At 41.9% G+C, this 26,215-nt stretch overlaps 1 protein-coding gene across 6 annotated transcripts in view, besides 1 other annotated feature; it reads left to right on the forward strand.

The window, feature by feature from the left end:
• The window catches only part of PLEKHG1 (pleckstrin homology and RhoGEF domain containing G1), a 243,781-nt gene that overhangs the window by 68,976 nt on the left and 148,590 nt on the right, over nucleotides 1-26,215 (forward strand). The window contains exon 1 of one of the 6 annotated variants that reach the window (NM_001329800.2): nucleotides 14,787-15,022. The exons of 4 other annotated variants lie outside the window; for them this stretch is intronic. Coding sequence is in view for 1 of the 2 variants with exons in the window: in NM_001329798.2 (NP_001316727.1) it covers nucleotides 14,903-14,981 (79 nt within the window). In the remaining variant the exon portion in view is untranslated. Of the gene's footprint in view, nucleotides 1-14,786; nucleotides 15,023-26,215 lie in introns of those variants that run through there. One more of the 6 variants, NM_001329798.2, reaches the window with a different exon arrangement.
• Nucleotides 21,522-21,621: a silencer, noted in NCBI's record as "silent region_17680". NCBI's record gives its function as "represses an Ori minimal core promoter by ATAC-STARR-seq in GM12878 lymphoblastoid cells {active_cell/tissue: GM12878}" and the evidence as "EXISTENCE:reporter gene assay evidence [ECO:0000049][PMID:35858748]".

Here is a 26,215-nt window from a genome sequence, read left to right on the forward strand (position 1 = left end):
AGTAATACAAAACAAGATTTGTCTTATTTGACCTTAAATATAAATAAAATGGCAGCTGAATTATTGTGAGCAATGTAGCTCAAGTATCTGGCCGTCATCTTTGCATTTTATTGCAGTGATGACTCCATGCCATTGTTAATCTGGATTTATTTTTAAACAGTTTAACTAGGGCCTTTTTTTGCAGGCTTTTCTTTGTTTCTCCCCTACTTAGTTCTGAGGAAAGCCTAAAATAAGATCCCTGTAAACACTGATGTTCATTTTTTAACTCAAACATTTGCACAGCCCCACTGTGGGTTCAGGAAAGACAAAAGGAGGCTCCTGACTTAGATCTAGCCCTCAAATAGAGAGGGGAGAAAGCCTTGAAGACACATCACTGTAGATAGCTGGGATGTGTTTTTGCTGTACAGAATGAGTAGGAGTGAGGAGAAAAGATGACTTTTGCCTGGATAGATGGGGGGTTGAAGAGGCTTCTGAGATGGTTTTTGATTGCCTACCGAGGTCATTCTCTGACCTAGTTTGATGTCTAACTCCCTTATAATTGCATCAGCTTGAACCCATAAGGCTTCAGTCTGTGGGGAGAATTAACCCTTTAGCTAATGGATAAAATAACGCGACGTTCTTTGGGGTTAAATTTTTGCCTAAATTACTTTTAATACCTTACTCGATGTCAAAGTTACTGGAACTGTGTATTTAGTCCTTTCGGCATCATCCTATGCTGTGTAAAGAATTATTCTTTTTTTTTTTTTTTTTTTGAGATGGGAGTTTTGCTCTTGTTGCCCAGGCTGGAGTGCAGTTGCGCGATCATGCCTCACTGCAACCTCCACCTCCCAGGTTCAAACGTTTCTCCTGCCTCAGCCTCCCGAGTAGCTGGGATTACAGGCGCCTGCCACCACGCCCAGCTAATTTTTTGTATTTTTAGTAGAGACAGGGTTTCACTATGTTGGCCAGACTGGTCTCGAACTCCTGACCTCAGGCGATCCACCCACCTCGGCCTCCCACAGTGCTGGGATTACAGGCGTGAGCCACCATGCCTGGCCAAGAATGATTTCTTAAACTTCAATCAGGTCCTTACCAAAAATGCTCTTCATGTGGACATTGCCATAACCCAGATTTTGATCCTAAAATGTATTTCTAATTTCCTTTTCAAACCATTCCTGGGATAACTAAGGGATTTTTGTGTTTAAAGAAAACAGTGGCTTTATTAATTTTTACCCTTGGTCCTCAATGAGATAATTGTTTATTTTTCTTCATAAGCCCCATGGATTTTGATAGAAGAAAAATATTGATTATACAGTATTTTCACATATGTTTATGTTTTCAAAGTAAATAAACAATGAGGAATCAATTTTCAAAAATCAGTAACATTGTGGGTTTTTTTCTAATAAAAAATCAACTTACACAGGTTTTTCTTTTCATAGCCTTCCACTGACCTTTATTTCATTGACTTTATAAGGAATATGTTCTATTTTGTTCATATTTGTTCATATTTTTAAAGCCATGTATAAGATAAACGTTGCGTTTGTAATAAAGAGTAAACCTAAGAACAAGGCACAGAGATGGAAGGCTAACCCAGAAGGACAACATCGAAGCCCTGAGCAGGGCAGCCACCTACGCTACACAGCCGCAGCATGCGCTACCAGTACCAGTCACAAATCTGAGCATGGGCGCCCCCTGGAGTTGTACCAACATGTCAGTCCTAGAACTAAGGGTAATAAAAAATGCTTTTGCATTCTTGTGCTCATTCAGCAAAACTTTGGAGTTCCCTATTTATCCTGGGAAGAGTGGGGAAACCCTGGGCCACATGAGCATACATAGATAGCTAAAGGGTCTGTTGGTTGTTGACCCCACATAGTCCATTTGGCTGAGGGAAATGACATAATGTTAACGCTTATGTTGCTTCTTTTTCTGTGTTATTTTATTATTGTTGTTGTTGTTATATGAGTAAGTTCTTTAGTGGTACCCATCACCCATGAATATACTGCACCATATTTATAGGCTTTTATCCCTTGCCCCCCCCTCCCATTCTTTCCCCCAAGTCTCCAAAGTCCATTGTATCATTCTTATGCCTTTGCGTCCTCATAGCTGAGTTCCCACATACCAGTGAGAACATACAATGTTTGGTTTTCCATTCCTGGGTTACATCACTTAGAATAATAGTCTCCAATCTCATCCAGGTCACTGCAAATGCTGTTAATTCACTCCTTTTTATGGTTACATAGTATTCCATCATATATATATATATATATATATACACACACACACCAGTTTATTTATCCACTCATTGATTGATGGGAATTTGGGTTGGTTCCGCAGTTGTGAATTGTTCTGCTATAAACATGCCTGTGTAAGTATCTTTTTTGAATAACGACTTCTTTTCCTCTGGGTAAATACCTGGTAGTGGGATTGCAGGATCACATGGTAGATCTACTTTTAGTTCTTTAAGGAATCTCCACAGTATTTTCAATAGTGGCTGTACTAGTTTATATTCCCACCAGCAGTGTAGAAGTGTTCCCTGTTCACTGCATCCACACCATATGTTGCTTCTTTTTCCTCCGTCCTAGAGTATTCCTTAAAAGAGGAAAGGACAGAGCCATTATGGGTAAGAAGGAACCAGTGCCCCAGACTGTTGAGGAATTGGTCAAGTCAGAAATCACTTGCTCACTCTGAGCCAACATTTATGGAAGGACTCCATATGCCGGGCACTGTAGTAAGTGCTGAGGAGACAGTGCTTACATTGGTAGTGACACCTGCAAGAAGCTTAGAGTCTAGTGGAGCTGAAAGATAACAGTTTAAAAAACCCCAAGTATATTATTTTAAATTGTGGTCAGTGCTATGAATGAAGAGACCAGGATGCTCTAAGAGATCACATTCTAGTCACAGGAAAAGACTAGGGAAGACCTACATGAAGTTGGGACATGAATGAAAGAGTGAATGAATGGAAAACCAGTGAGGCTGGAGGCAGTGAGCAGTGGGGATGGGGTTGGAGAGAGAGATGAGGACTAGCTCTTGCACAGCCTTGCAGACCATGTTAAGGAGTTTGGTTTTTATTCTAAATGCAATGGGACTATATTTATAGGTTTTAAGCAGGAGGGTGATGGAATCCAGTTCAGCTTTCTAAAGATTCACTAGCTATTGGGTGAGAATGAATTACAGAAAGTGGGGTGGTAAAGAGATGACAAGTCAGAAGCCTTGTGCTGCAGGCCAGTCAAGAGCTGGTGGTGGTCCCTTGGGCCAAGGGGTCCCTGATAATAGAGAAGTTATTCTCCAGGACACAAAAAAATATGCAGATGTTATCAAAGAACCCCTCTTTGGGTAATGGAAAAAGAAAATGCTAAGTCTTAATCCCAATATTTCCCCCACCTAACTCACCTTTTATCTGCTGTGCAAGTACTCCCTCCTTCTCTCTATATAGTGGAGAAAATTAGAGCCTGATTCCACGGGTGTTCATATGAATAAATTAATGCTATGAGGTGCTTGGAAGTCCAGTGCAAAGTCTAGCAGTTGCTGCTACCTCCTCTGCTTTCCTCGATGTCCCGTTAAGTTCCCAGGGGAAGCCAGACAGCATTTATATTGTTTGATCATGGAGATGAGTGAAAATTGAGATTAAGGATGATTTCACAATTGTCTTAGAAGTGGAATCCTTTGAAAATATTTCATTAGTTGCTCATTCTAAGTATTAGCCTATATTAAATTGATGCTCTATTTCACCAGTAGGAGCATTTAGGTGAAATCAGAGGATAGAAAAAATTAGTGGATAATTAAAGGAATGGAAAAAGAAAAATATAGTTATCTGTTGTTATTTGTAGATGTTTAATTTCATTTCCAACCAGGTCATTTTATAACGACAGGAAGATGAGAGTCCTCATTTTTCAAGTTTGAGTGAGAAGAAAGTGTACCATTTATAGATAAAAAAGATAAGATTAAATAAAGTAACTGCCACCTTCTGATGCTCTCATTTCTCTCAGTATTTCTGCAGGTAGACTGAAAGCATGAGTGTCTACTTTTGAGCAGAATGAAATAAATAATTCAGCATTTTCTACTGCATATCAACTCTCTGCTTATTTCCCCCTTCAAATTGCATATTCTGGCAAGATTTCTCACTTGTAAAAGCATTTAATTACTGTGTTTGGCAGTCATGGTTGGTTGCATTATATAAACAAACACCTACTTCAAACATTGAAACTGATTTTTTTCATAGTCGGCCGGAAAGCAAGACTATTTGATGTTCAGTTTGGATGCCCTATTTCTGATTATATAATTTAGGTCTGGGAATAGAATTTTGGCATGTATCTGCAGTTCTTATGCCATAGAAAATTAACCTTTAGCATCCTCTCTAAAAGGGCAAATCATCATGCATACAAGTTCCAAAAAAAACTTTTAAGGTAAGCTTCCTTCTAATAAAAGATTTTTCTGTCTTCAAGCAAATGCACATCTCTCTAGTACTGCGTTACTTTCAAATATTCTGTGTAATCTGTGACCTCTGCAGAGCCATAGCTAACTCAGCCCCCAAGCCAGACATGGAAGGATCCCCAGGTGTTTAGCTGAAGATCTTGGTAGACAAAGTTCATTTTCTTTGGCCTGTCTATAGGCAATGCTTGCTTTCGAATCCTTAAATATATTCAAGAACACTTCTCAGCTCACCAGATTCTAGAGCATTGTGTACACTTGTAGTCAAGTACAACTCAGGAAAGCCAAAGCCCTTAATGAACTCTTTCTTTTCTCTTCTCCTTCCTTCCTTCCTCTCTCTTCCTGTCTTTCTTTCCTTCCTTCCTTCTTTCCTTCCTTTCTTTCCCTCTTCCCTCCCCTCCCTCTCCTCCTTTTTCAGGGTCTTACTCTGTCACCCAGGCTGGAGTGCAGTGGCACAATCACGACTCACTGCAGCCTCAACCTCCTTGGCTGAGGTGATTCTCCCATCTCAGTCTCCCAAGTAGCTGGGCCTACAGGCGTAAGCCACCATGCCTGGCTAAATTTTTTTGTATTTTTTGTAGAGATGAGCTTTTGCTATGTTGCTGCGGGCTGGTCTCAAACTCCTGGGCTCAAGCATTCCACCCAACTTGGCCTCCCGAAGTGCTGCAATTATGGGCGTGTGCCACCGCGCTCACCCTATGAACTGTTTTTTTCTAAGCTCAGTTTGTAGAAGAGAGCCTGACCTCCCTCTCCACCACACACCACACACACAAAGTGTGTAGACATGAGGAATTTATTTAAGGAAAAAAAGAATCTTTGAATGTGTATCAGCCTATCAGTGTTTATTAATCCCAGCTCCTCCACCTTCTTCTTAGTCTACTCTCTGTTATAGATTCAACCCTGAGGCAGGGCAACAGTTTGAATCATCGGGGAAGGTTAAATTATAGTTTGTATACTGCCTTTACCTATCAAGTTAGGGATATGCATGACCCAGTTTAGGAAAAAAAAAATGAACAAGCGTTGAAAAAGGTTTTTATTGTTAACTCTAAAGTTAACAGAAAGTTCAGTTAAGCAGAACTTTTCATCTCTTAAGGAATTTGGATAACTGCTCTTTTACTCTACTGTTAATGACAAAGAATGACCTCAGAGTCCAAGCTCTCTTCTCTTTCTGAGAATTAACCTGCAATCAGGAAGTGATATAAACTCTTCTAAGAATTATATCCACCTAAATGAAGAGTAGAGAGCTAGCCAGGTTCAAAGCATTGTTATCAGTTATTATAGACCTACACTTATGGCACCTGAGTTTCACTTTTGTTTCAAGTTACTTAATGCCAGATTACACCTGTAACTTTCTCTCTCTCCTCCCTCTCTCTCTCTCTCTCTCTCTCTCTCTCTCTCTCTCTCTCTCTCTCTCTCCCCCCTCTTCTCTTCTTTCCATGGAGTCTCGCTCTGTCGCTCAGGATGGAGTGCAGTGGCATGATTTCAGCTCACTGCAACCTCCACCTCCTGGATTCAAGAGATTCTCCTGCCTCAGCCTCCTGAGTAGCTGGGATTACAGGCACCTACCACCATGCCTGGCTAATTTTTGTATTTTTAGTAGAGATGGGGTTTCGCCATGTTGGCCAGGCTGGTTTCGAACTCCTGACCTCAAGTAATCTGCCTGCTTCAGCCTCCCAGAGTGCTGGGATTGCAGGTGTGAGCCACCATGCCCGGCCACCTCAAACATTTCTTTAAAAAGACACACACAAATTGCAAACCGTTTGCTATTTAAAAATGTAATAATAAGCTCAAAACTTTGGTATGGATTTATATAGTGACCTAGCCGAGAAATATTTAATAACCACAGGCAGCATTTTGGGAGTTCACCATATGCCAGCAGACAGTATAGGGCAAGTTCTTTGCATGAACACGATCATTTTTCCTATATCACCTATAATCAGCTGCTGATTAGTCTTCCTTCCCCCTTCAGTCCCCTCTCTGTTCACACCATTTATTAATCTGCAGATGGGCAAACTTGCATGATTGAGGAGCTTACCTGAAGACACGCGGCTCATAAGTGGCAGAACCAGGACTCACACCCAGATCTTTTGTACACCAAAGTGTGTGCCCTCAGCTGTGTGCACTGTCTCCTGTGCGTTCATCACACATGCTCATCCATTCTTGCTTTTTCTCTCACGCTTTCTGGATTAGTGGAGAAAGTTAGGCAAAGGGAGATCCTCCCTACAACCTTATCTTTCAGTTATATTTGGAGGGTCTTTTATCCCCTTCCTAAGATAGTTTTATTTTAGCCTCTTGTCTTTAATGATAAAACTTATTTTTGTTTTTGTTTTTGAGACGGAGTCTCCCTCTGTCACCCAGGCTGGAGTGCAGAGGTGTGATTGGCTAATTTCTGTATTTTTGGTAGAGATGGGGTTTCGCCATGTTGGCTAGGCTGGTCTCAAACTTCTGACCTCAAGTGATCCACCTGCCTCGGCTTCCCGAAGTGCTGGGATTACAGGCATGAGCCACCATACCTGGCTGATAAAACTTACTTTTCTTAGTGGGGGGAAAAGCATGAGGATTATTTAAATCTAAGAAGATGAAATTAAGTAGCAAAAAAGAAACTGTATAAACATTTATTGCAGATATCATTAAATACCTACAAAACATAGATGAAACGAGTAAAAAGTGAGTAAAAATAGTTACTAATACAAGATATAATTCAAAAGAAAAAAATTCAAGATTCAGACCACAAGCCATATAATATATCACAGTGAACTCCCAATGAACTAAAGAATTACAGATTTGCAGTAGCACAGTTTCAGCTGTAAAGAAGAAAATTTTTTTGAAGGAGGAGAAAATTGAAAAGGGCAAAGATGCACATATTTATTGATATGAAGTTTAAAACCTTTTAGAACTAGAACGTAATGAAAGCAACAAAATGGGAAAATATGCACAGCAACAATTGGAGACTTAATTCATGTGCCCACACAAGAATTTATATAAATGTGAGCACAACGTCAGATTCTAATTGGATAAGTGGTCCAAGGATAAAACCGGCTATTACACAAAGGAAAACAAATAGGAAACCAAATCTGAAAATAACACTCAAATACATTTTAAAATGGAAACATTTTACACCTATCAAATAAACGGAAGTCAAAAATCAACAAGGGACAGGTTGTGGAGAAACAGGTTATATTCATGCATTACTGTTAACCGTGTAAACTATGTAATCCTTTTGGAGAAAACCTGACAGTATATAATAAGGATGATGACAGTCTTACCCTTTGAACCTGCTGTAGCTCTTCCTTCCTGGCAGTTTATCCCGACGGTGTCATGAGACAAGAACTTATTGAGCAACTGCAGTGCTAGAAGCTGTGAGAAATGGAGATGAAGGAGACAGATTCTACCCTGAAGGTGAAGCTGGTGCAACTTAAAGGCACTAACATAATTCATGTTCAAAAATGTCTTCATGGAATTAATTATAATGAGAAAAAATACTTAGTGACAGCCTACATATCTAAAAATGTAGAACTCATTATTTTCCTGAGTCACCCACCACCCTATAACCAACTCTCTCCCGTTCTTCTATGCATACCCTGGGAGTGAATGGCAATGCCAGCCCCAAGGTGCCTTAACCACAAGCTTCAGCCTTTCCCTCCCTCCTCCCTCTCCTTCATAGCCCAGCCCCATCCAATCAATTCTCAAACTATAGGCATTCTCCCTGCAGCTGCCTTTATCCAGGCTGCCACCACCTCATCAATTCTCAAACTATAGGCATTCTCCCTGCGCTGCCTTTATCCAGGCTGCCACCACCTCTTCCTTAGCAGGTGTCTATCTCCATACTTGCATTGTTTCTTCCTCTGGTCTGTTTTCCAACTTCATTGAGAGTTGTCTTTTCAAAATGCAGATCTGATTGATTATGGTACTCCTCCATTTAAAACATTCAGTCCAAAGTCTTTACTGGATACATAAGACCCTATGTGGCCTGGTGCCTACTAACCTCTACAGTCTTGTCTCTTGTTTCTTCCCCTATACACACACACACACACACGCGCGCGCGCACACACACCACCAGTTTCTACCCTACTGCATTGCTTGGAGTTTCACTGGATAGGCACCATGAGTCTTTGCACATGGCACTCCCTCTCCTTAAAAGCCTACACTGATTTCTCACCCCATCCCATGACTCCAGGCTGGCTGACTCCTATTTATGCCTGTTTGTTCTTCCAGACTCAATTCATATGTCATCCCTTCTAGGGACATCTTTATGATCTAGGTCCCTTCCTGACACATGCAGACACAAGACTCAGTTGGGGGCCCACTTATGTTCACACACCTGATACATACCCCTCATGTAGAATGCTGTCAGTGCTTTGGGAAGCTGAGGCAAGAGGATCACTTGAGGCCAGGAATTCAAGGCCAACCTAGGCAACATAGTGAGATCCCGTCTCTAAAAAAGAAAAAGAAAGTTTAAATTAGCTGGACACGGTGGTGCACACCTGTAGTCCCAGCTACTTGGGAGATTGAGGAGGGCGGGTCACTTGAGCCTGGGAGTTCAGGGTTACAGTGACCTGTAATTATGCCACTGTACTCCAGCCTGGGTGACAGAGTGAGACCCTGTCTCCAAAATAAATAAACAAATAAATAAATAAGTCAGTACAAGTATTATATTATGCATAAAGGCAAAATGCAACAAAATAGGTCATAGGTCAATGTGTTCCCTGACTTTTTGTAGCAAAGTGTTTTTTAGTGTTATTTTTAATTGATAATAATTGTATATATTTATGGGATACAATGTGATGTTTTGATGCATATATATATATATATATATATATATATATATATATATATGTTGTGGAATGATCAAATCAGGCTGTTCTTTGTGGTCAGGACATTTAAAATCCATTCTTTTAGCTCTTTTGAGGTCTACAATACGTTACCATTAACTACAGTCACCATGCTGTGTAATGGATCACCAGAGCCTGTTCCTCCTGTCCCACTGAAACTTCAGACCACTTGAACAACATCTCTCCTTGCCCACCCAGGCCCCTCCACCATAGCTGAGTGTTTTAAAACTATTCCCAATGAACACCTAAATTTAAGCAGTGCCTGAATAGCTTTCACAACTCTACAAAGTGAGCAGGGAGAAATCTAACTCTTTATGCCATTAATATATAAGCAGGAATTGTTTCACTAGATCTGTGTTAACTTCAGATGCCCTAGGAAACAGGAGTTTTTATATTAGGTTCAGCCTGAATTACCCATCTTGACCTAATCTAACTGATGTAAATAGTAGGAATTAATTTTGTGCAGGCAGGGGTAAAGATTAATCCAGGTCAGTCAGCACCTTGTAATTAATCCACATACTCTTTAAAATAGAGAAAGAAATGTTGGCATACTCTCTGGCTTAAGGTTCTGCACCAATCTAATGTAGAGTTCTAAAATTTTATAGTGTTCACATTTCAGGGTTGAATTACAAATAACAAAGGCTTTGCTAAAGATGGTTATTTCCAATGGCCAAATCTTGAGGTGTTGTTAGGAATTGGTTCTAACCAATCATGAGCAAATGAATATGTGAATTAAAGACAAAATATTTCTAGGTGATTTTTAAATATGATTAGAAAACCTGGGTTTTATCATATTAGGTTATCACTGATATTGCAGTTTTAAAACCTGAAATCTCTGAATATCAATTAATTATAAACTAGAAATCAGCCTAAATTCATTAACTTTCATTGCTGAGAAAATAAGTAATAAATCTCTGAAAAAACAATATTAATGAGCAATTTTCTACAAAATCAAAATTTTAAACTCTTATTAAATTGTGTGTGTGAGTGAAAGTGCCATAATGATGTATGGTAGCCTTGCCTTGCTTTGATATAGAGGAGAAAATAAATACAGAAATCATGTTTGTAGGATTTTAAAGGTTTGGCATGAGTAAGCACCATTGCCTTGACTTTTCTGAGTCGCTCTGTTCTTAATAATAGCTTTTAATATAATTTAACGTAAGTTGTAATCATATAATAAATATTAAGCTCCAAAGAGATATTTAGTTATTTGTTAAATTTCTTGAACTTCATGGCTATGTTCAGCAATATAGCATTTCTCAGGGCAGAGAAGATGTGAATATTAAATGTAAGTAAGGGAGAAATACAGGCAGCTCACTTTTCACCAAAGTGTTCTCTTTGAAGAATCCATAAAATAAAGTAGTTATCATAAAGCAAATCATGTTTTCCCATGGGAATGAGTTCATAATTACAGGCTTGCTTCTTTACCTAATTATAAGCAATAGCATACTTTAAAAAATTACAACAGCTGTGATAGAAATATCACCCACACTAATTATACCAAAGTCCTCAGGGCAGTATAGTTGTTCATTCAGTCATTCAGCAAGCATTCGTTGAGTATGTACTCTGTGCCAGGTGCTGTTTCAGGCTGTGGGAATTTGATGCAGGCAAAAAAACACATGCGCTTTCCCTGCCACCCCATCAGTATATTAAACTAGACTAGTAGGAGAGATGGCTGTAAGCCAGATATTCATTGTAATTATAAATGCCATAAAGGAAAAAAAAATACAGGTAGGCATTGTCATGAGGAGGTGATCGCCATGCTGAGGTCTGACAGGTGAGCAGGAACTGAGGCGGGGGCAGAAAAGCAATGTGGAGAGACAGTGAGCTTTGGAGGGACTTAGAGATGAGTGGTGTGTCTGGCATGGTATGGGAGAGAAGGCCAGTAAAGTCAGCAAGGGGGCCAGGATGGGAACATGTGAGTGCTGGAGGCCAGGTTACATACAGGTTGTGATCCTTATTCTAGAAGAAATGAAGAGGCATGGAAGAGTTTTCAGCTGATGGGGTAAGGATAGGGTGACATCAGGTCTGCCATTTGAATGATCATGGCACTATAGTTCTCCCCTCCAGAGAATATTTAGTAGAATGTTATACTAGTACAGATGGAAGATGACCAGGGTAGAGATGGAGAAAAGGAAGTGACATGCAAGTGAATTAAGAAGTAAAGAAATTGACTAGAGGTGGTAATGATTTGAATATGTGGAGTGATGGAAAAAAGGTGGAAAGGATGGCTCTGAAATTTCTGGTTTGCAGAACCCCACAAATGATAGTGACATTCCTTGGAAGAGGGTCCAGTTTGGGAGGGAAGTTGTGTTTCATTTTGGTTATATTACATTTCAGTTTCCTGTGAAATCTCAAAGCTGAGCTATCAAATAGTCACTTGGATATACTGGTCTGGTGCTCAGAAGTTTGGGCTGAAAATATAAATGAGTCATTGGCTGATCCTGCAAAGGAGATTGAAGAGGGATGTTGGTACAGGGAGGTGGAAAACCAGGATTCTAAGGGGCCATGGTCCCCAAAGCGGGACAGTGCTTAGTATGAAAACAGTGGCCAGAAGTGTCAGATGTTTCCAAGATGTTATACGCAGAAGAGACTGATAATTACCAGTTGGGTTAAGCAGCATCATATTACAGGTAACTGTTTTGGTTGGGGATGTGTGCGGTGAAGCGGGGAAGAGACTAGATTGGAGCGAGTTGGGGAAGAGATGAAGACAGTGAGTACAGATAACCCATTTGTAGCTTTTACACTTGAAGGAAGAAGAGGGCTACAGCTGGAGGAGGACACACTGAGAATCATGGGAAAGTTGCCTTAGATGGGCAAGTTGAAGCACATTTTCCCACCATTAGGACAGACAAAGAGGAGGTGCCCTTGGGAAGTAATCTCTAGGCATAATGCTCATATAGAGTCCAAATTCTATATGAATTTACAATTACATTTTTCATGGATTAACTTATTTTAGCAGAAACCATACATGCATTGGTGTTTCCCCTGCTTTTCTCATATATATGGCCACTGCAATGCTGAGGACCGTAAAGACAGCATGGGAGTTAGCGAGTGGTCGGGTGAATTTTGTGCAACATCCAGTTCAGAACAATTCAGCCTGGGTAGTGGTTATCACTTGGAGAAAAGAAAGGATAATAGGCCGGGCGTGGTGGCTCATGCCTGTAATCCCAGCACTTCGGGAGGCTGAGGCGGGTAGATCAAGAGATCAAGACCATCCTGACCAACATGGTGAAAACCCCTCTCTACCGAAAATACAAAATTTAGCTGGGCGTGGTGGCGTGTGCCTGTAGTCCCAGCTGCTCGGGAGGCTGAGACAGAGGAATCACTTGAACCCAGGAGGCAGAGGTGGCAGTGTGCCAAGATTGTGCCACTGCCTGGCGACAGAGCGTGACTCTGTCTCAAAAAAAAAAAAAGAAAGGATAATAGTAGATCGTCTTTTTTTTTATTTCCCTTCTTAAAAAAAGAGTTGTAGAATTTCCTCCATGTTCTTTGTATTGAGAATTCTATATACACAGATGATTCCACATCCTCCAAATTTAGAAAACCTTTTTTCCCCATCCCCTGGAGTAGTCAGCTTTGCACAGCTATCCTTCCCTAAATGCAGCCAGGAGCAGAGTCCCGGTGGTGTCTGAGAGAACCCAGCGATTCGGAGCCAACTTGAGGCCCTGTAGTGCAGGGAGACCCTGAAACCTGTGAATGAGCTTCCTGAACCCAAACTTTGCCGCTCCTCAATTTCTTTTTGGCCTTGAGTACAGAATGGAATTTGCAGCCGCTGATGAAGTATGGCTGAATGCTCCAGGCAGTGATCCTTTAAAGCTAAACCCCACTCTGCAGTGTGCACAGAGCATGGTGCTTTGCAATATGACTCCACCCCGATTCTAAAAAGCCTATTAACACAAAGACTCTGCTTTACCTACAGTTGACTCTGCCTCAGTACATCTGATGAGGGGCAAGCGTGATGCCTGCTCCCTAAATTCCCCCTTCCCCCACAGTTAGGCTAAGACCACCTTGTTGAGGCCATGCAGCCTCTGTGCATGGTGAGGCCTGAGCCTGCATGTCTGGGCCTTGTGCTGGCAGGCCCAGCGACACTCCAGAAAGAGCCACTCACCTGTGGCAAAGTTGTCAGCAGCTGAGTCAGCTGCCAAAGTAAAAAGTGCACTAAAGCTGCTTACCAGGCCACGATAAAGGCCACCTGCAAGACTGCAAAAGCAAAGTGTGGCACAAAACACTGTGCTGCGAGTGGCCACATGAGAAACCAATGGCCCACACCCACAGTGCCGCATCTGTCAGAAGCCACCATCTCCGGGGGTCATTTTGTTCCTCAAGTGCATGTCCCTGAGCCAGTCCACCAGACATGGAGGCTTGGGGAAAGGGCAGTGAAGACCCTTTCCACCCGGCCAGGTTCTGCCCAGTTTGAGAATTTGAAACCAAGCAGGAAGGCAGAGGGAGACTAAACTCTCACCTTTATTGCTGATAAGCTGACATCGGAGATTGTGTCTCATGTCTGGGTGTGCAGCCATCCTAATACCGAACTCAGAATCGGAAACTTCCTAGATGGCAGGCTGACCTGAGCAGCCCTTCACACACGGGAGCAGACCTTGCACCTGCAGGAGGGAGGCAAAGCAGGTGCTACCAGTGGGCAGCTCTGTGCCCTGAAAGCAAGAGTGCAGCCAGATCATGCCTGCCCAGTTTTCCCTTCCTATGCATGCCAGTCTAATTCCTGAGTCCTGCCCCCAAGAGAGGCATATGCGGGTTAAAGAGAGACCAGGAGCTCCTGGAGCACCACCCACATGAGAGAACAGCAGGAGTGAGGATGAAACATGCCACACACAGCCCCACCCTTACCCCAAGACTCCTCCCTGACGTTATAGTAGGAGGTCAAGTATTTGCTACAGGGTTGGATGTCATACTTAATGCTGATGGCTTCGTGCGCATCTTAACAGTTGACAACTACATCATCACAGCTTGACACACGTTTCTTCAATTGGCATGTGTTCTTTGTGCTCAGAACCACATTAGGCCCTAAGAGACTCCAGAGAGACACATGGCCCGAGTCAACCTTATCCTCTGTAGAGGGCAGATGGGGACAGTATTTATATTTATGAAATTTAGAGAATAGTTGTCAACTCGTCATGATAGGACATTAGCAACAAACACCCATGAACGAAAGTTTGTTGTGAGCCACACTGGTCTTTAAACAGCCTTCAGGATGATTCTGGTTTTCTAGATGTGTTTCCTTTCTCAGTGAGTCCCTTTTCTTGAGAGGAGAGGGGGTGTATATTACAATAAGACAGGTTCCGGAGGGAAATGACTTCATGGGCTCACTGTTGAGCTGCTTCCCTTTGCATCTCGGGGGAAGGTGTGGTTCACCCGCAGCAGGTCCGGTGAAGGAAGCACGTGTGTGTGTGTGGAAGGGTGGCGCTGACCTCCCAGACAGGACATTACCCTTCTTCCTCTTCCTGACCACTGCTGTTCCCACAGCAGTCACGGTCATCACTTAGCTTCCTGTTGGGGAAAACCTTGGACACTGTGCATCCACCTGCTATAACTGGCAAACTAAGGATGACAGAGTGTTCAATGATGCTGTTCAACTTGAACCCTGAGTTGACACACGGACCCCTCTGCGCTAGTATCCAGGGCATAGGACGTCTGAAGGAAAGATGGAGCCATTCTTGGTGGGGCGGAAGAGGCAGGAAACTGCTGCCTGGACAAATCGTGTTCTGGGCCAAAGCATCACAGGCGAGTGAAATATGGGAATATTGAAGGGGCCTGGGATGGAGGTAAGATGGAGCGATCCTATGGTTTGGCACCTGCAGCCAGGGTGGTGGCAAGGGCAGTGGCAAGTAGTGGGTTTCATGGAAGGATAAAAGTATCAGGCAGCCTCCTCGGGCGGAGACCGCAGGTAGATGTCCCTGGCCTCTGGGACTGTCTTCACCCAACAGTCTATGTGCTGGGTACATACGCTATGCTGGGCACAAAGAAGGCTGTGGTCCATGACTTCAAGAAGCCCTCAGGCTAGTAAATTGGCATCTTCATATTATCCTTAGATCCAGGCTGACAATGTAAGCAAATGTGGAAAGCGTTAGAAAATGCAGGCTCCCTGGCACTATCTTAGACCTCATAGAACAGCCATTTCAGAGCAAGTCCTGGGAATCTCCATCCCATTAAGTGCCCCCTGAGGCTTGGGGATAGATAGTTGCGTGAGACAAACTGTAGCAAGTAAATCATCGCAACAAAGTGCGAGAAGTACTGTGATTGGCTGTTTCGGGAATGACGAATGCACAAAGGAGGTTCTCCTACGTGGGAAATCCAGGTGCGGCTTGGGGACTAGTATTTGAAATTTCAACTGGCTCCATCTGCCTACTTTCTCACATACCTCCATATGCTGTCTGGTGGCTGATGGCAGCAGCTGTGCAGGGGTTTCAGTGTCTGAATTTGGGCAGTTTGCTGTGCTTCCGAAATGGTTCTGGCCAACCCTGTGTCTCCCCTTGGACTTCTGATTGGCCCATGGGGGATGAGGATTTTTGGATCTGTGGCAGCAGTAATGATCGAGGCCTCCAAGAAGAGCACCACTAGGAGGGTGTTAGTAGATTTTTAATAGCCTTCATACCGAGTCCTTTAGATGTGTTTCTTTTCTCAGTGTGTCCCTTTTCATGGCGGGGGGTTGGGGTGTATCTTACAATAAGACAGGTTTGGGATGGGGGGAAATGACTTCATGGGCTTGCTGTTGAGCTGCTTCCCTTTGCATCTCCGGGAAAGGCGTGGTTCACCCGCAGCAGGTCCGGTTAAGGAAGCACGTGTGTGCTTTCAGCATCGCTGCGTTTTCTCTGCCACTTCACCCTAAGGATGGGGTCAAAGTTGCTTCTGCTTCTCTTGATAGAGGCTCTCTTCAACTCCCTACCACTCCTAATTCTCAGCCCTTGCAGTTTCCTGCAGTGGAACACGAAGTTCCAAAGAGATGGTTCCAGGTGAATGCACAGCTGTGTTCCCACCTCCTGATCCTGTCTCCAATGAGTGACACTGGGCCGTTCTTCAAGATCTCTCCTTAACCCCCTCTTCCAAGACAGGACCAAACCCCACACTTGAGCACTGGGCTCCCCTGCTCTCTTCCCTGATGCCACCCCACTCCCACAGGGCGTGGCCCCAGCAGAAGACAGCTTCAGCCTGTTTTATTGACTCTGGGTGTGACAGGAACAGAGATTTTGAAGGCCTCTTTGCCCTTTTCCCTAGAGAGTAGGTGGCTTTGCCCCTGAGCAGCAATCCGCTGAACCCATCTGAGCCCAGCTCAGCCCTCTGTGGCAGAAGGAGCTTCCCGTGGAAAAGAGGAATCCCACTCCAGTGAGGAAGGAGAGGCACCCAACAAGGAGGCCCAGGACATGTGTCTCTCATCAAGGGCTGCCCCTCTGAGATGGTGCTGCAGGAATCCCGCCCTGAGATTGGGGTGTGGAGAGAATAGAGCCAATAGCTTCCTACTCTTCTACCATTTTAAAATCCCATCCTGCATTTCGACTTTCTCTCTGACCACAGTGATACTAAAGGTTTTCTGAATTTTGGAAAGGTCAAAATAATAAGGTAAATGTCAACAAAATGAATATGTAAGGTGTGTATCCTCAGAATACTCTTTCTTTGGTAAATTGTAGTTTTATTTAAATGTGATCAGTTTTAGGTGATACGGGGAATTTGCCTACCTCCTGCAGAAACTATCTTGATCTTATTAAATTAAATAAGATGTAACTAGGGAAGGGGGGAAAAAAGAGTGAAATCAGGCATGGATCATTCCATCTGTGTAACCCGTAAAAGTCATAACAACAGTAAATGATACCAAAACCTCTCAGGCTGCCTACAGCCAATTCAATCTCAACTTCTACCACCTAGGCTGAATGACTATAGCATACAGAGATGGCCAAGGGATTCTAGAACTTTCTAGAGCTACTTGCTCCTCCCCCTGTTTCAATGCAGTCATTGGTCACTGCCCAGTGTGCACCTGGCACCTGACCAGTAGGGGGCACACGGGAGCAGTGTTGTGTATGAGCTCAGCTCAGGCACCAGCTGGTCAGGATGAGGCACCTCTACCTGGGCTCCACAGGAGAGCTAATTAGGTCATTGGATTCGATTCATCTTTTAAAAGTCTTTGAGAGTTTACTTGATTCGGATTTTTATTAAATCTCTTAACCAACTTTCGTCATTCTCAAATGCCAGTATAATTCTGTGAACACTCCAAACATTAGAAATACTTTTCTTATATTGTAAACAAATTCTGTTTATGTAGAAGATGGTTCTCTTTGGAAAAACAATGCCTGAAAGCTCTTCCAATTTAGCAAGGAAAATAGTCTGAGAAAAGAGAAATAGGTATGCAGGTACATGCCCCGCCTCAGCCCTCCCACACGTGGTCATTTTTGCTTGTTGAAAAATTAGACTTTAAGTAAAAAATGAAGCATCGAGAATGATCACTCATATAAAGGAGACTGTGCTTTTATGATATTGGCCTTTCTCTTCTGTTGATTGACTTTATTCCTATTCTTCATTTTTATGTTTCCTGTTGTCTGTTTTTCTCTTGTCTCACCTCCCAAGCTTTCTTTCCCTGGGCCTCCCGAGGGAGGTCTGATAACGCAAGAAGGATGAGAATGTGGGCGGGAGATGAGGGCGGGAGGAACTGCCCGGACCTGTCAGCCTTGGGTGTAGCACCTGCAAGGAGGACATGATTCTCCTGCGGTGACAGCCTGACCGGGCCCCCCACCCACCAAGGCAGGACCACGGCGACCTGGGGAGCATGCTGCCAGCAGCTATGGTGGGGGCTTTGGTCAGAGGATGGAGGAATCGAAGCTCTCCTCAAAGGGCTGAGTCAAAACTTCTTATCCGACCGAGCCAAGATGGAATTGCAATTCAGGGTATGTTTGACACCTTGATGTGATTGTGTGGCCCTTTGTAAAGGGTTCAGAGGGTGATCATGAGCTTATAAGCTTTTCTCCACCTTCAAATGGAATTGACAAATCCAGAATCTGTTTTTTTCCTCAGGTTATCATAAATTGTGACTAATTTTACTTGTGGGAGGTCTATTTTCCTTTCCTAATCAAAGACTTCAGTAGTCACGTAATACCTTCAGTAGTCACATAGTAAAAGATTATTACTACCTTCTTTTTTTCCAGAGCTTTTACTTTAAGATGGAATTCTTGTTCTGTGGTATTTGTGTTTGCCTAGTAGGATGAAAAAGGTATACTGGCTTTTGGCAAATTTTAGTCTAAATTGCATCACTTTATTATGTCTGGAATGGGAGATGTGGAGAGTACTTAATTTCTGGGTTTTCTCAGTAATTCTTTTTATTTTCTGTTTTGTTACTATCGTTTTGAGGCAACAATAGAACTAGTGACAAAAATATAGCTTTCTTGTTAACTTAGTTCAAAGGGTTATTATGGCCTTTTTCTGAAATAAATTTTCATTAGAATGAAATACTTTGGAAATACCTGACCTCGTTCTCTTCTGTCTGGACCTTGGACTCCTTAATGGTACTTACTAGAAGGGAGCTCTTTGGTCTTGCCGACGATGGACCCATGGGAGGAACACAGTGCCAGCTGAGGAAGCAAGTCTGAGCATAGAAGTCATAGACTCCCAGGGGCTCTCAGAGCTGGCCTGCTGCCCCTCCATGCTCTCATCTGACCCCACGCCCTGAGAGTCTCCTAGGGAGTAAACACGAGTGTTCTTGCATTTCAACAAATATGTATTGAAAGCAAATATATACCAGACATTTTTTTAGGCAGCGGCATGCTCTGATCTATAGCTAATCTACTTTTAAGAGGTATAAAAAACAAATGTTATCATCTGTTTTGTTTGGACAGTGGTTTCCAGCCATACTTTTCAGGCTGGCTATATTCAAGAAGAGTCCAGCCAAGAAACTCTTTTGAAAATAGCCTGATAAGTATTCACTGCAAAATAGTAAATTTGTCATTTAACCAGGTATCCAAACGAGACAAGGCTGTTCTATGTTCTTAACTGCCAAAGGATGAGTGATTATTTGTAAAACCTAGGCATTCCGTAAGAAGTGCGAATCACAGTATTTAAAAAATTAATCATCTGATTTTGCTCCTTTGCTTCTCAGATGAGAAAACAGAGCTCAGGGAAGTTGATTACTGAGCTTCAGGCAGCACAGTCAATAAAGTGGCAAAGCAGGCCTGGAATCACATGTCCCAGACTCTTAATCTTACATTTTCTTCCTTTGTTTTTTTTTTTATTTTATTTTTTGAGAAGGAGTCTCACTCTGTCACCCAGGCTGGAGTGTAGTGGCGTGATCTTGGCTCACCGCAACCTCCGCCTCCCGGGTTCAAGTGATTCTCATACCTCAGCCTCCTGAGTAGCTGAGATTACAGGCATGCTCCACCATGCTTGGCTAATTTTTGTATTTTTTAGTAGAAACAGGGCTTCACCATATTGGCCAGGCTAGTCTTGAACTCCTGACCTCAGGTGATCCACCTGCGTTGGCCTCCCAAAGAGGCCTTCTCTCTTTGGGATTACAGCCATAAGCCACCAAGCCCAACCATTTAATCTAACATTTTCTCTCTTATCTCATACTCTCCTGATAAATTTGACAAATTTCTGTAACAATATTCAGAGCTTTGCAAGGTAACAAAGTAAAAACATAGTAAAAACTATGCTAACATGTAAGAGATTTTTTAAAAAACAGTGTCTTGAGATATAATTCAGGTGCCACACAATTTACCATTTAAAGTGTACAATTCAATGGTTTTTGGTATATTACATTATTTACTTTTTAAGCTGTGGTAAAATATACATAACATAAAATTTGCCATTTTAACCATTTTAAATGTGCAATTCAGTGGCATTAGTTGTATTCACAATGTTATGCAACCATCACCAGTATTTTTATAACTTTTTATCACCCCAAACAAAAATTCTGTAACCATTAAGCAGTAACTCTGTTCTCCTCTTGTCCTGTCTTTGATAACTTCTAATCTGTTTTCTGTCTCTATGAATTTGCCCATTCTCCTCTGGGAATTTACTAGACATTTTGTATGAGTGGAATTATCTAATATTTGTCCTTTTCTGTTTGACTTATTTCACTCAGTATAGTATGTTCAAGACCCATCCATATCAGAAGTTCATTTCATTTTATGACTAATGAGATGGTCTGTTCTAATTCCCTTTTATTTCATTCTCTCTCCTTTTAGTACACTTGAATTTCCAACCTGGTCATGAAATCCTTTAAGTATTTTTCAACCTACTGGTATTTTTATATTTAAGTTATTTAAATATAACTTAAGTGTGAAGAGACTCTTAGGAAGGTATTTCTTTTCAGTTAGTTCTTTAAAGGCAGGAACCATATGTTAATCTTTGTTAAAAAAATCTTTTTGTCTCTAACATTTAGTCCAGGACCTGGCATAGAAAAAATACTTAACAAATTTATCCTGAGATGGACAGATGGATGATTCTTAAGGTTTTACTTTTATGTTTCAGAAAACAGATTTTGGCCGGGCATGGTGGCTCATGCCTGTAATTCCGGCACTTTGGGAGGCCAAGGTGGGTGGGTCACCTGAGGTCAGGAGTTCGAGACCAGCCTGACCAACATGGTGGTCTCTACTAAATGCAAAAGATTAGCCGTGCATGGTGGCACATGCCTGTAATGCCAGCTACACAGGAGGCTGAGGCAGGAGAATCACTTGAACCCGGGAGGCAGAGGTTGCAGTGAGCTGAGATTGTGCCATTGCACTCCAGCCTGGGCAACAAGAGCGAAACTCTGTCTCAAAAAAAAAAAAAAAAAGAAAAACAGAAGAAGAAGAAGTAATATGATCTTTGAGCTTTAGTTCTTTATTCTCTGGAATAATATTTTCTTTTGACATTAAAATTTATAGTTGCAATTGTTTCCCACTCCATAGAATTGGTAAATATAAAATGGCCATGTGTTGAATATTATAAGCATTTTACTGTACCATGTCAGAAGTGAACTCAGGAAATCTGACAATGGCTAGTTCCTGCCTTTAGTGACCTTTTGATGGTGTTTATTACTGAGGGTGATGGGAGTCTCCTGGCTGCTCAACAGTGTGACTTGAGACAGGTTCTTTAAACTCATAACTGTTATTTATTTTATTTTGGATTTTTTTAAATTTTATTTTTCCATAAGTAATTGGGGGTACAGGTGGTATTTGGTTACATGAGTAAGTTCTTTAGTGGAGATGTGTGGGATCCTGGTGCGCCCATCACCCAAGCAGCATACACTGCACCACATCTTGGCCCCACCAACATCGTTACTGTTTCTCGGTGCTGGGCTCAGGAACTGACAGCAGTCAACCGAAACAGAAGCTGCTACTACTTCAAGAAGGCTTTTCATACCTCACTAGAGTGAGGAAACGGAACATAGAGGTTTATTTCAGTGGTTCATAGTTTTCACCTCCAAATATCAAATGTAACTATACTTCTCTAGTGCTTCTGTCCAAATAAAGTAAGCATGCATATATTTGTGTATGAGTAGCCTGCCATTCAGCACACTAAGACATGCCCTTCCTGGGCTTCAGCTATTCCAAAAGGTGTGGAGGATGTGAGAGGAAGGGTGCAAAATGAAACTCTGGATTAGGAGTGAAAATTATCATAGGATGTCTTTACTGGAGATGATTTCCCCACTCACTCTCTCAAAGATCTAATCAGGAACAAACATTTGCACGTTTTATGTTGCAAACAAGTTATTTGGTTTGTTGAGTGAAATCACGGTTATTTTCGTGCCTGTGTGATTTCAGGAATTCTGTTCTCCTGCTTTTGGAAAGCTGCTTCAGCTCACAGATCCCTGCCTCCTGTGAACACTGGAATGTGGGCTGTGTTGCTCTTCCGCAACCCAGCGCATGCATTGTTCACTTTCCCCATAGTCCTCCCTCATCTGGATGATGAACCCAGTTAGATCTCCATGGCCTGATACTCTCTAAATCCACCATGGCGGTTGTCCTACACAGAGTTGGCACACAGTGAATATAGCAGTGACTTCAGAAACCTGAAATACTAATATTTATCCTTTTCTGTTTGACTTATTTCACTTGGTATAGTATTTTCAAGACCTATCCATATCAGAAGTTCATTTCTTTTTATGACTAATGAGATGGTCTGTTCTAATTCCCTTTTATTTCATTCTCTCTCCTTTTAATACACTTGAACTTCCAACCTGGTCATGAAATCCTTTAAGTATTTTTCAATCTACTGGTATTTTTATATTTAAGTTATTTAAATACAACTTAAGTGTGAAGAGACTCTTAGGAAGGTATTTATTTTCAGTTATACTTCAGGGATGAGTGAAATAATGTTATAAAGGACAGAGCCTGGTTTTTATATATGGCCTGTGTAATCTGTCTTGATGCTTTGTAAGCCAAACCAGATACTTAAGTTATTATTGCTTTTTACATTTCAAAGGCCTACAGACTACCATTGGCCTAAATATAAAATAATAATTTCTGTCTGTAGAGCTGTACACCCTGTAGTCGAAAAGAAAGCCCTTCCTTCCTCATTTCTTAATGACAGCCTATAATCATCTCTGAGCAATTTTTAAGATTTTTTCTAAACCACCATTTCCGTCATTATGTCAGCTGGGGAAGAGCCTCTTCTTCTATCAATAGAATGGTTCTCATTCCTTCCCAAGTCCAACCACCCACCTTGTGAGAAGGGGTCATTGTAAATCTCAGCCAACTTTCTTTTTCAACAATGATGTTAGGAGAAATGTCAGATGATAAAATCAGTTAATCACCAAATATTTACTGAGGACTTGGGAAAAGTTTTGGGGAGCCATTGGAGAGAATATGACTGAACCACTGTAAGTTCTACCCAAACTGTGTTTCCTCATTCACTTCCAGCCTAGGCTTGAAGGAACAAGAGACCAGGGGTGGATCCAGGTTCCTGTCCCGCTGGGACATGGCCCATTTCCTTTGTTAGGCCTGGGAGCAGTTTGAGGAAGCCTGGTTAGGCATCTGTCAATCCCAACTGAAGTCACTTTTTATATGGGGTGAGGAATTTTTAACCTCACCCCATATAAGGCCTAGCAACTTCAGGCATGAGTAAAATAAAGACAGAGAAATTGCACATCACAACTTAATGTTTGTTGTGTTTATGTACTGAAAGTATTTTATGTTTGTAAACTCAAAATTAACCCATTTTATAAATAATGGCAATGACTATAATGCTTTAAAATAATTTACTGTATCTGTCACTCTTTTCTGATGGAATTTAATAGACTCTTGTACTCTTAGTTTACTTCAGATCAACAATACAACTCTTTTCCCAGATTTCTTCATAATTAACTATGTAATTATCATTTGATAAAAGCCTCTTATTTTAATTAGAATAATATGATCATGGGCTGATGATTCAATAAATATTCACTGAGCAGCTGCTATGTGGAAAACTAATGGCATGCTGGAAAGAAAAGAATTTTTCCTAAGGCTTGTCCTTGACCTCAAAAAAAGCATATGTGATCTAGAGAAGACAAATTTAAAGAAATGCTGCAAGTATAATATGAATAGGCAGAATTAAATAATTACTAAATGAATATCAGAGGGAAAAAAATGCTAATTTTAAGGGAGAGTATAGAGTAAGCAGAATTTGAATGGAGCCTTCCAAACCATTGAGGATACTTTCAACTCTGAAATTTAGGCCAAGAGAAAGTAAGTACTTGCTTTTGTCACACTTTCAGTCTCTTTTAACTCATGAAGTTTCTACTAAGTCAAACTGAAATTAATTAGTTACACTGTCAGAGCGAGTGCATTGGTGATTTCTCTGTGTAGAAAACAGTAGAAAGGCCATCCAAGGGCAGGCGTTAGCATAAGCAAAGGCACAGAGGAATGAAAGCAAATGACATTTGGGGGAATGTTGAGATGTCCATATGGCTGAAGTTCCAGGTCAGAACATAGAAGGCCTTAAATGTCAAGATAAGGAGCTTGGATTTAATATGTAGACCTCAGGGAACTGTTCCTGCGGTTGGATCACTTGAGGTCAGGAGTTCGAAACCAGCCTGGCCAACGTAGTGAAACACCATCTCTACTAAAAATACAAAAATTAGCCGGGTGTGGTGGTGCACACCTGTAGTCCCAGCTACTCGGGAGGCTGAGACAGGAGAATCACTTGAACCTGGGAGGCGGAGGTTGCAGTGAGCCAAGATCACGCCACTGCACTCCAGCCTGGGTGACAGAGCAGGACTCTGTCTCAAAAAATTAACAAACAAACAAACAAAAAACCTATGTGTGACTTATTTGGTGTCTCTCTGCTTCCTGGAAGTCGCTTCTCAACTTTTGGCTTCTCTCTCTGATCATTCTAACTCTGGGACTTGGAAGCTCTTGTGTCAGCAAACAAAATCCACAGCAGCTTCCTTCTACCCTTTGAATGATCAGCCAGTGATTCAAATTGCCCTTGGAATAATCTCTGAATTCCCTGGGATAGACTCTGAGGTCCTGCATCAGTAACCACCCTCTCTTTGGTCACACTGGAGCACAGCTCCGTGGTTCAGGCTAACCACTCCCCCATGTGTTTCGTCTCTCCTGGCCTGGCTCTGTTCTCCAACACTTGGCTGCTTTCTCACCCGCTCTAAGCACATCCTCACCCATCACCTCCTTCCAGAGCCAGCTCGATACCCAGCCCTTGGGAAAGCATATATGGCCCATGTTGTTATGTTCATAAATCATGCACCAATCATGCATAAATCATACATAAATCTTTGCACAAGGCTATGAGAGGAATGCACAGTCATGAGTGGCCCAGGTCAGGAGGCAGGGACCTCATGACTACCTCGAGAGGCAGAGCAAAATGGCAAAAGATGCAAACAGCGCTTCAAGAGAATGGAAGCTGTGTCGCGTGATAGTTTAGAAGTCATTCCCAGCCAAGTCGGTACAGGCTTTGTGTATAGTTATTGCTTCCCTCATCTTCATCTTTGTATATGCTTCTGGGAGTTTACATGGGAGGCTTTGAATCCTTGACTGTGATCCATTCAAAGACAGGCAGCATGGATCTAGTTTATAAGAACCTTTGCCAATGAACATGGCAGAATTTTCTGTTTTATGTCTGCCATTAGTTGTTAGGTGGGGACTGTCCCTGTCCTGGCATGCAGGACTCTGCTACCGGAAATTATTATAGCATACAGAGTAAGAGTTCCAGTCCCAGACTTAGACTGTCTAGGTTCAAATGCCAGTTTCACTCCTTACTAGTTGTGTGAATTTGAAAATTATTTCATCTCTCAGTGCCTCATTTTTCTCAAGTAGGGATGATAGTAATATCTGCCTTTTAGAATTGTTGTGAGCTTTCAATGAATTAATTTAAAGAGAAAATGTTTCAAATAGTGCCTGGCTGGGCACGGCGGCTCACAGCTATAATCCCAGCACTTTGGGAGGCCGAGGTGGCTGGATCACCTGAGATCCGGAGTTGGAGACCAGCCTTGTCAACATGGTGAAACCCCGTCTCTACTAAAAATACAAAAATTAGCCCAGTGTGGGGGTGGGCGCCTGTAATCCCAGCTACTTGGGAGGATGAGGCGGGAGAATTGCTTGAACCTGGGAGGCAAAGGTTGCAGTGAGCTGAGATGGTACCATTGTACTCCAGCCTGGGCAACAGTGAGACTCTGTCTCAAAAAAAAAAAAAATAAAAATAAAAAATAAAATAGTGCCTGGCACATAGTAAGTACTCAAAAAATGTTAGCTATAATGATTTATATTATTAAGTAGTCCTCATGACTGTGTGATTACCATCTTTTTAAGTGTTTTCTAGTCAATTCCTAGTAACTGGAGCTGTAGTTCTTAGTAGCTGGAGTTATCAACATATCTGCCTTCTGTGCTAGTAAATTTTTATACATCTAAAGTTTTAAAACCTCTGCATAAACATTCCCCCTGGAAAACTAGAATCAATGGTATTTTATTATTCCTACATTGACATTTTAATAGCCAAGAATGGCTTTTAAAAGAATTAGGAAGACACATGGCATCTGTCAGTCTTGATATCATAGTTCC

Source organism: Homo sapiens, chromosome 6 (genome assembly GCF_000001405.40).
Source record: "Homo sapiens chromosome 6, GRCh38.p14 Primary Assembly".
Lineage (NCBI taxonomy): Eukaryota > Metazoa > Chordata > Mammalia > Primates > Hominidae > Homo > Homo sapiens.